The following is a 10,947-nucleotide window of genomic DNA, read 5'->3' as shown; positions in this document are numbered from 1 at the left end:
TTTGTTTGTTTGTTTTTTTAGCTGATACTAATCTGGAACATTGCAGAGAAGAGAATTTGGGGAAATTAGTTCTAGCTTAGCTAAATAGACACAGTTCAAATCTGCCACATACACGGTGCCAGTTACAACTTTTTTCTCAACTCCAAATCCACCTTTCTGTACTTTGCTTTGTGGTACTGGATCTGGGACTCTGAAAACCACATTTGTGCCTTATTTGCTGGCTTCATGTTAGAGTCTGCCAATAAAGGGCACTAAAGAGAAATAATGGGGTTAGGACAGGAAGAAGGATGTTTTCCTTCCTATTTCCTGTGGACTTCCTGTCTGCTTGTGCACATCACCCAGGCTTGCTTCTTCACCTTGGGAATGATAATTCCTTCCCAAATCAGTGGTTGGATCCTACTTGCTGTTTTTCCCAACCCTTCATCCCACTCCTGCTCAAAGATGCATGCACCAGCCAACCAGCATCATTCTTCAGAAGTTCAGGCCTCAACCCCACAAGGCTCCTCCTCCCAATGCTAACACAGCACTAGACAGGTAGTGCTTCTTTCTCAGAGGCTGAGTTTCATCTCCATAGGGCCCCACCTCTATGTTCCTAAGTTTTATTAATTCCAAACTCTTCTCTTTGTTTTCCCAGCCCTAGTAGTGGTAGCTGCTGCCTACAGTTGCTGTGTCTGTGAGAGGGTATATGTCTCCCTTTTTAGCTGTTTAGTTACTGAGTTGATAATTTTGTATAGCTTACCATTCTTTGTATCAAATTCTTTCTGTTCAAATAACTGGTATGGTTTTGTCTCCTGAGTGGACCCTGACTGATACATATCCTGAAATAAAACTCATAGATAATAAAATGTACTTATAAATATAATTTTAAAAGTAGAAGATCAATATAATCCCTAATAGAAAAAATGCAATACAGTCATATGTATTTTAAGACTTTCACATGTGACCAAGATGGAATAATAGGGATAGGACTTAATCTTCCACATGAAATAACTAAAAACAAAAGAAAACAGAAAAACCACCCAGACAAAGTATATAAACTAATTGGATATAAAAACACTGGTCCCTTTCTCCAGATAAGGGATGATAATAGAAAGGAAAACAAAACAATATATCAGGCAGCAGGTAACAAAAGACAGTGACCTCTGAGAGACAGGAAACAAAATAAATAATCTGGGCCAGGTGCAGTGGCCACACCTGTAATCCCAAGACTTTAGGAGGCCAAAGTGAGAGGATCACTGGAGCCCAGGAATTCAAGACCAGCCTGAGCAACATGGCAAGATCCCATCCTTACAAAAAATAATTAAAAATTAGCCAGGTGTGCATCTATGGTCCCTGCTACTTGAGAGGCTGAAGTGGGAAGACTGCCTGAGCCTAGAAGGTTGAGGATGCAATGAGCCATGATTGCATCACTGAACTCCAGTGTGGGCAACAGAGTGATACCCTGTCTCACACATACACACACACACAAAGTGATCCACATGATGATGTCAGCTTACTGTTTGGAGAGATATTTGGACTGTAGTTTTGGATGAGGGACCCAAGCAGAGCCCCAGTTTCCCTAAGTTGGGGAGAAGGAACTAAAAGTCTGGAAAGCCTAACGTGGCTAGAGTTCACAGGGCTGAGCAATGGAGAGGAGAAAGCTTCACAGAGAAGGAGCTCAGAAAATCTGCAGATGGTCTCCCTTAAGGCTCCAGCTGAGAAAGGATCAGCACATGAATGTGAGGAAACTGCTTGAGGCTGAGGGAAGAACCACTTAAAGGAATTATAGGGAACAATCCTCCGAGCTCACACAGGGCCTGGAATATATCCTATTCCCACCAGCCAGAGTGAAAAAAACCTCATAATTCATGGAACATTGGTAGGGTATTCTGAAAGGTAGTAGGGAAAAATTAGCCCTACACTAAATACTGCTCTGGTCCCACCTAACAAAGCTTAAAAGCAAGGCCTAAAAGGATCGAACTATTTCCAAATAACTTCATTCCATCCCAGATCAAAGCTCAAAAACATTTATAAAAGTCAAAGATATCCAGCATCCAACAGATTAAAATTCAGAATGTCAGGCATCTGATAAAAAATTACCAGTCATGTAAAGAAGCAGGAAAATATATTAATAACTTATGGATGAGAAGAAAAATTAATTAATAGAAACTGACCCAGAAAATAATACTCATGATGGAATTAACAGACAAGGACATTAAAACAGTTATAACTCTATTCCATGTGTTCATCAGACTACAACAAAGATTGACATGTTAAGGAATGACACAGAGGATATTAAAAAGATTCAAATCAAACTTCTGGAGATGAAAACTGCAATGTCTGAGGTGAAAAATACATTGGAGGTAGGGAGATTAACAAAAGATTGGACATTGCAGAAGGAAAGATTACTGAATGTGAAGTCATAGCAATATAAACAATCCAAAATGAAACAGAGGGAAAAAGACTGGTTAGAAAAAGAAAAAAAAGATAGGATTGGCATATCAATGAGCTATGGGGCAACTTGAATACATTTGAAAGGAGGGGCTGAGTGCAGTGGCTCATGCCTATAATCCCAACACTTTGGGAGGCCAAGGTGGGAGGATCCTTTGAGCCCAGGAGTTCGAGACCATCCTGGACTACATAGTCCAAAGAACTTGGAAGAAAAATAAAGTTAGAGGACTTACAAAAAAAACCATAATAAATTAGCCCAGCATGGTGGCACATGCCTGTGGTCCCAGCTCCTGGGGAGGCTGAGGTAAAAGGATCACTGAGCTCAAGAGGTTTAAATATGTTCTCTGATTATGATCTAATTAAACTAGATATCAATAGCAGAAAGATAACTGGAAACTTGGTGAATGTTGAAAAATAATATAACATATATCTAAATTAACCATGGGTCTGGAAATCAAATGAAGAGCCGAGTACATTGGCACGTGCCTATGGTCCCAGCTCCTTGGGAGGCTGTTGCAGGGGGGATCCCTCGAGCCCAGGAGTTTGAGGCTGGAGCATACTGTGTTCTACTCTCCACTGCACTCCAGCCTGAGCAACATAGCAAGACTCTGTCTCTAAATTAAAAAAAAAAAAATCAGATGTGAATTTACAAAATGTTTTGAAGTGAATGCAAATGAGAATATTGTATATCAACTTTGGTAATATGCAGCTGAGAGAGTACTTAGAAATTTATAGCACTGAAAGTATCAACTCAGTGACTTTTCTTCCACTTTTAGAAGTTTTAAAAAAAAGGAAAGTTAAACCCAATGTAAACATAAAAGAGGGAATCATAAAGATGAGAAGGGAAATCAGTGAAATAGAAAACAGAAAAACAATAGAGAAAATCAATGAAAGTAAAAGTTAGTTATCTGAGAAAATCGATAAAATCAATAAGCCCCTAGCCAAACTGATTTTGGGGAGGTGAGGGGAGAAGACACAAATTACTGATATCAGGAATGAGAAAAGTGACATCTCTAGAGATCTTGCTGGTATTAGAAAGACAGTAGAGGATTACTATAAAGACTTTATGTCAAAAAATTCTAAAATGAACAAATCCCTTGAAAGATACAAACTACTCTATTTCTATGAAAAAAATTGAATTTACAGTTAAATTTTTTTTCACAAAAAAACCTCCAGGCCCAGATGGTTTCACTGATGAATTTGATCAACAATTAAGAGAGAGAGAAAAAAAAAAGACTGACTCTATATAAACTCTTTCTGAAAAATTGAAGGAAAGTATTTCCCAATTCATTTTATGAGGCCAGCGTTACCCTGATACCAAAACCAAAGATATTATAAGAAAAGAAACTGCAGATCAGTATTCTTATGAACACAGATGCAAAAAATTTCACAAAAGTCTAGCAAATCAAACAGTATATGAAAAGGGCAACATATCATGACCAAATGGAGTTCATTCTACAAAGGCAAGGTTGCTTTCATATTCAAAGATCAATCAATATTTTATCACACTAACAAGCTAAAAAAGAAAAACCATATGATCATCTCAGATGATACAGAAAAAGCATTTGACCAAAAGCTAACATCCATTGCTGATTTCAAAAAAAAAAAAACAAAAAGCACACATACAACACAAAACTCTTAGCAAACTAGAAATAGAAAGAAGCTTCCTCAATCTAATAAAAAGCGTCTATGAAAAATCTATAGCTAACATCACATTTAGTGAAAGGGTGAATGCTTTTCACATAAGATCAGGAGTTAACAGAGATGCCTGCTCTTACCACCTGTATTCAATATTGTATTAGAGGTTCTAACCAGTGCAATAGAGCAAGAGAAAAAAAAGGAAAAGGCAGCAAGATTAGAAAGGAAACTGTAAACCTCTGTTTATTCGTAAATCATCTATGTTGAGCATGTGATGAAATCCACAAAAAGTTACTGAATTAATAAGTGAGTTTAGCAAGTTTGGAAGATATAAGAATAGAATATTTTAAAACACCAAAAAGTAAATACTTAATGATAAACCTGAGAAAAGACAGACAAGACCCACACACTGAAATCTTTAAAATACTACAGAGAGATATTAAAGAAGACCTAAATAAATAGAGACACCATGTTCACAGCTCAGAGACACAAAATTGTTAAGATGTACATTTCTCTCAAGCTGATCTGTAGACTCAACTCACTTTCAATCAAAATCCCCCACGTATTTTTTGTTTCAGAAATTCATATGCTAATTCTAAAATTCCTAGGACCTAAAATAGTCCAAAGAACTTTGAAAAGGAACAAAGTTGGAAGATTTACATTATTTCAAGACTTTAATTTTAAGGCTATGGTAATCAAGATAGTGTAATATCAACATAAAAATGAAACAGAATAGAGTTTAGAAATGGAACCAATTGATTTGAAAGGTGCAAACCCAATTGTGAAGAAAGGATAGTCTTTCAAACATGGTGTAACAATTGGATATCCACATACACAAAAAAGATCCATACCTTGCACCATGTATTATATAAAACATAACTCAAGATGGATCATAGATCTAAATGTAAAACTACAAAACCTTTAGAAGGAAACAAAGGAGAAAATTTTTGTGACTTTAGCTAGGCAAAGATTTCTTAGATGTGACATCGAAAGCACAATCCAGAAAAGAATACTACGATAAATTTGACTTCAAACTTGAAAACGTCTGCTCTTTGAAAGATATTCTTAAAAGAATATCTTAAGTACTGGGCCAGGTGCAGTAGCTCACACCTGTAATCCCAACACTTTGGGAAGCCGAGGTGGGCAGATCACTTGAGGTCAGGAGTTCGAGACCGGCCTGGCCAACATGGTGAAACCCCGTCTCTACTAAAAATACAAAAATTAGCCAGGCGTGGTGGCACAACCCTGTAATCCCAGCTACTGGGGAGGCTGAGGCAGGAGAATAGCTTGAACCCGGGTGGTGTAGGTTGCAGTGAGCAAAGATCGCACCACTGCACTCCAGCCTGGGCGACAGAGGAAGACTTCACTTCAAAAAAAAAAAAAGAAAAAGAAAAAAAGAAAGAAAGAAGAAAGAAAGGAGAAGAAAGAGAGAAAGAAAGAAGAAAGAAAGAGAGAGAGGAAGAAAGAAAGAGAGAGAGAAAGAAAAAAAAAAGAGAGAAAGAAAAATAAGCTGAGGACTTTGAGAAAGCATTTGCAAATTATACATTTGATAAAGGACTTACAGCTGGAATATAAGAATTCTCCAGATTGAATCATAGGAAAACAAACAGTGTTTAAATATGGGCAAAGGAGTTTAATAGACACTTCACTAAAAAAGACATACAGATAGTGAATTATCACATGGAAAAGGAAATGAAAATTAAAACCATAATGAGATACCACCACACACCTATTAAAATGTGGTCAGAGGGAGATATGACAATGGAAGTCTGGTCAGAGAGATGCAGTACTGGTGGTCAAGAAGATAGGGGACAGGGGCCATGATCCAAGTGATGTAGGCAGCCTCTAAAAAAAGGAAATGAATTCTCTTCCAGAACCTCCAGAAGGAACACAGCCCTGCCAACCCTTGATTTTAGCCCAATGAGACCTGTATCAGACTTTTGACCTCCAGAATTGCAAAATAATAAATCTGTGCAGTTTTAAGCTATGAAGGTTGTGGTAATTTATTGCAGCAGCAATAGAAAACTAATACAGCAAGAATCCTTAAACATATAAATAAATTGTTCATGTGTGGTTCATTTAAAGTTGGAATAATTTTTCAAAATCCCATTAGAAAGTGAAGTGACTCTAGTTTTTTGCTATTCAATATGGTAGCCACTAGACACATGTGGTACCCAAATGTGGCTATCGTGACTGAGGAACTGAATTTTTAAGTGTTTTGTTGTTGTTGTTGTTTTGTTTTGTTTTTTAAAACAGGGTCTCCCTCTGTCGACCAGAGTGCAGTGGCATAATCATGGCTCTCTGCAGGCTTGTCCTCCTGGTCTCAAGTGATCCTCCCATCTCAGCCTCCCCAGTAGCTGGGACCACAGGCACATACCACCATCCCCAGCTAGGTTTTCTTTTTATTTCTTTTTTATTTTGTAGATACGGAGTCTCCCTTGTTGCCCAAGCTGGTCTCAAACACCTAGGCTCAAGTGATCCTCCTGCCTTGGCCTCCCAAAGTGCTGGGATTACAGATGTGAGTTTCTGCGCCTGGCCTGGGTTTTTAGTTTCATTTAATTTTAATTTACATTTAAAATTTAAAACTAATACTCAATTCAGTTCCTGGAAAATTATAAAACAGTTTTAGAGCAACTTGGGTTTGTGAATCTAGTTTTTCCCCCTGTAAATTTTATGAAATCTAAATGTAGATTAACTATTTCCAGTCAAGGGTGAGTGTTCAAATTGAGATGTGTCATAAGTATAAAAAATGTAAAATATTAAAAATTTTTATATTGATTACATGTTAAAATAAAAATGTTTTGGATATGTTAGGTTAAATAAAAGGTACTGTTAAAATTGCTATCACCTGTTTCTTTTCTTTTTCTTTTCTTTTCTTTCTTTTTTGTTTTTTTTTTCCTCTGTCATCCATCCAGGCGCAATCACAGCTCATTGTGACCTCAACCTTCTGGGCTCAAGCGATCCTCCCATCTCAACTTCCCAAGTTGATATGGTTTTGCTCTGTGTCCCCACCCAAATCTCATCTTGAATCGTAATCCCCATAATTCCCATGTATTGAGGGAGGGACCTGGTGGGAGGTGATTGGATCATGGGGGTGGTTTCCCCCATGCTGTTCTCATGACAGTGAGTTCTCACGAGATCTGGAGGTTTTATAAGGGGCACCTCCCCTTTCACTCATCACTCTGTCCCGCCTGCCACCTTGTGAAGGAGGTGGCTTTGCTTCTCTCTTGCCTTCCACCATGATTGTAAGTTTCCTGAGGCCTCCACAACCATGTGGAACTGTGAGTCAATTAAACCTCTTTCCTTTATACATTGCCCAGTCTCAGGTATGTCTTTATAGCAATGTAAGAATGAACTAATTCATGAGTAGATGGGATCACAGGTGCTCGCCACCATGCCTGGTTAATTTCTGTGTTTTTTGTAGAGACGGGATTTCACCATTTTGTCCAGGCTGGTCTCAAACTCCTGGGCTCAAGTGATCTGCCTGCCTTGGCCTCCCAAACTGTTGGGATTACAGGCATGAGCCACTGTGACTGGCCTTGTTTCTTTTTACTTTTTAAAATGTGGCTATTATAAAATTTAAATTATGTATTTGGCTTACATTATATTTCTATTGGACTGTGCAGTTCTAGATTTTTTTCTACATTTTTATCATGCTTTACATGAGGATGAGAATTCAAGGGAGGGCAGAACAACCGCCAGAAGACAGAGAGGAAGAAAAGGACATTTTTTATCTTCGTTTTTAAATATACCTAAAAGTCACAGTACTTGAGCCTGATTTTCAAGAATAAATTACATTTCAACATGTTTCAGAGGACCATCCAAGTTTTTCTTTTGCGCAATAATTTAAGTCTTATCCCATATTGTTTGCAATATCTGAGCCATTGGCTAAAGTTCCCTTAAATATTTTTTAATTAAATAGATTAATTTCTGCAATAGGATTTGACAGTATGGGCCTTTGGCAAAATAAATTTTTTTTGCCTCGACATTTTTAAAAGTATATCCTGGTTTGTTAACAAAGAAAAGAAAATGACAACAAATCTTTTAGTTCTATTTAAAAACAAAATGTTACAGTGAACTTTAAACATCATAAATACCAAGGCATTAATGGCATAAGCACTGTCATCTGGTAGGATTCATTAACACTCATTTGATTACAAAAAATGAATTTAAAGTTTTAAGTTGAATTTCAGCAGCTTTTGGACGTAGAAATCAGTGATGGCAAAAATCATCCACTTAGAGCATCAAATGGTAATGCTGTGCATAAGGGGATCATTTGACCCTGAAAAGGGGGTTATAGCTAGAACTTAGCCAGAAAGGACTGCATTTTGCCCTGGAATCTGGAACGAAGATCAAGCCTTTTGGGCCCGAATAAGAAACCAATAGGACCAAGCTGTATTCCCTCTTTCGGAAATATTGTTTCTGTTACTCCACAACTTCTTGTTCTATCAGCAACTGCTCTGCCTCCGTCTCATGTGATAAAATACAGAACGCCCGGCTAAATTTGAATTTCAGATAAACAACGAAATACTGTAGAAATAACTAAAGCAACTGTATCTGCTGGCCTTGTCAATCAAAGTGTCCTACCTACTTCTTGCTTCATAGGTGATAGGTGTGCATGTGACCCAGGCTTGGCACGTGACCCTAGTCCCTTGTTCACATTGATTGGCCTAACACATAAATACTTGTCTCAGTTAAAGCCAACTCAAGCCTTTCCATATAATTTGATCTAGGAGAGAGATGGTTACTTTTTCAAGTGGATTACAAGCAACAAGGATGCAAGCCTTCGGTAGGCTGCAGCCATCTTCCTGCCATTGGTAGAGAGCCTTCCTGTGGCAGGAGAGAAGAAGGCTAAGTGCAAAGAACCAGGAGATGAAGGCAAGTGAAAATGCTCTGACAATGTCTTCTATTTGGAGGTGTTCTTGGTGTCTCGTACCAAAGTTTGATAGTGATTAAATGCTCTATTTCTACTAGTATTAAATGAACCAGACACCAAGTTCTTACTCTATAATACACATTAAGCCAGCATCTTAGCCATAGTGCCACTATAAATCTTGATTTTCTTATCTGTTTGGCATTTTTTCTCCAGGTTCTACTGGCCAGAATGGTAGTGTGCAGGTGGGCATTTATTCTTTGATAGTATAATTTATGTTAGTGATGCCATTAACATTTAAAAGAGAGAGAAAGTTTCCTATCCTGTAGAGAGTACTTACAAGAATGCAGTATAAAAGCATGTTTTTTATTTCCTGCTCTAACTCTATTACCATTCCATTCATTTTCTAAGACTGTCCTGTCATTAGACAGTAATTGCAAACTTTAATTTGTGAGCTTCTGTTTCTAGGATCCCAAAGAGATATGATGCTATTAATGCTGCCCTCAGAGAATGGAGTGGCCCCCTTGCTCCAGGTTAAATTCCAGAATCTTTGGGAGTACAGTGCAGAAGGAAAAGATTTGAGGGCAGGACTGGATGCTTAACCTGCAGAGCCCCGTGCAAACATTAAAACAATTTATATATATATGTCCCCTTCTCCAAAGATGCTTGAGAATTTCAAGATGGCAATAGCAGAGCGTTAAATGAGCATTAGGCCCTTCAAAGCACAAGGTCCATGAGGCCAGCCCTGCTTGAGGGTCATATTTGATCTCTTAATGCCTTAATTTCCTCATCTGCAGAATGGGAAGTGAAATTGAATATTTAATGTAAGTATTAAATGAATTACTTGTGAAATTTGCAAAGCTCCAGCCACATTGTGAGTTTTCCATAAATAAAGTAACCACCATCTTACTCTATTGCATTAATATATGGGAGCCAGGAGTGAGTTCTCTGTGGTGAGCTGAATGTGGACTCAAAGCATTTTCTTAGGCCAATTACCCAATGTCTCTAATCCTCAGATTCCTCGCCTATAAATAAGAGATAATCAATGCATCTACTCCTGAAAGATTATCTTGAGGATTAAGTGAAATAATTCATTTAAAGCATTTAGCACAATTCTGGGAACACAGTGCTCATTAAATGTTCACTATTATGGCTATGTACCTGGCCCAGTCCTAAACATTCCGCATATACTATCTAATTTCATCCTTATAACGACCTAGAAACTTAGATATCATGACCTTCAGTAAACCGAAGCTGGAGAGGTATCTGTCCAGGTTGTTACTATGTAGTGGGACCAAAATTGAGATTCCAGGTATTTCTGATTCTAAAATCCATACTCTCCTGGAAACCACCATTCTCAGCAAACTAACACAAGAACAGAAAACCAAACAACGCATGTTCTCACTCATAGGTGGGAGTTGAACAATGAGAACACATGGACACAGGGAGGGGAACATCACACACTGGGAGGTTGGGGGGCTAGGGGAGGGATAGCCTTAGGACAAATACTTAATGTAGATGATAGGTTGATGGGTGCAGCAAACCACTATGGCACATGTATACCTATGTAACAAACCTGCACGTTCTGCACATGTATCCCAGAACTTAAAGTAGAAAAATAAAATAAATAAATAAATAAATAAAATAACATGACTATGAATTATGTAGACACCAAAAAAAAAAGAAAAAGAAAAGAAAAGAAAAAAAAACAAAGAAAGAAGAAAATCTCTATCAACAGATATGGAGTGATTTCCAGAGATATTATTAAGTAAAAAAGGTGAAGTACAAAGAGCATGTAATATGCTACCTTTGTGCAAGAAAAAGGAAAAAATAAAAAATTATATATTTGAAGTAAAAAATAAATAAATAAATAAAATCCATGCTCTCCACTCCAATGCATACTGTCTTTAACTGTTTAGTCTTCCTTCTTCCCATGCATTCTCAAGCCCTTAGTGTGTATTCGCTTTCCTGTACCTGCCCATGATGAGAGATGTAACACACATAAG

The 10,947-nt window shown here is 37.7% G+C and overlaps 1 annotated feature.

The window, feature by feature from the left end:
• Window positions 1,313–1,964: an enhancer, noted in NCBI's record as "OCT4-NANOG hESC enhancer chr14:57496239-57496890 (GRCh37/hg19 assembly coordinates)". NCBI's record gives its function as "activates a minimal SCP1, AML or CMV promoter by ChIP-STARR-seq in naive H9 embryonic stem cells {active_cell/tissue: H9 hESC(naive)}" and the evidence as "EXISTENCE:reporter gene assay evidence [ECO:0000049][PMID:30033119]".

This window comes from Homo sapiens, chromosome 14, assembly GCF_000001405.40.
Source record: "Homo sapiens chromosome 14, GRCh38.p14 Primary Assembly".
NCBI classification, from domain to species: Eukaryota; Metazoa; Chordata; class Mammalia; order Primates; family Hominidae; genus Homo; species Homo sapiens.
This window is presented reverse-complemented; position numbering and strand designations above follow the sequence as displayed.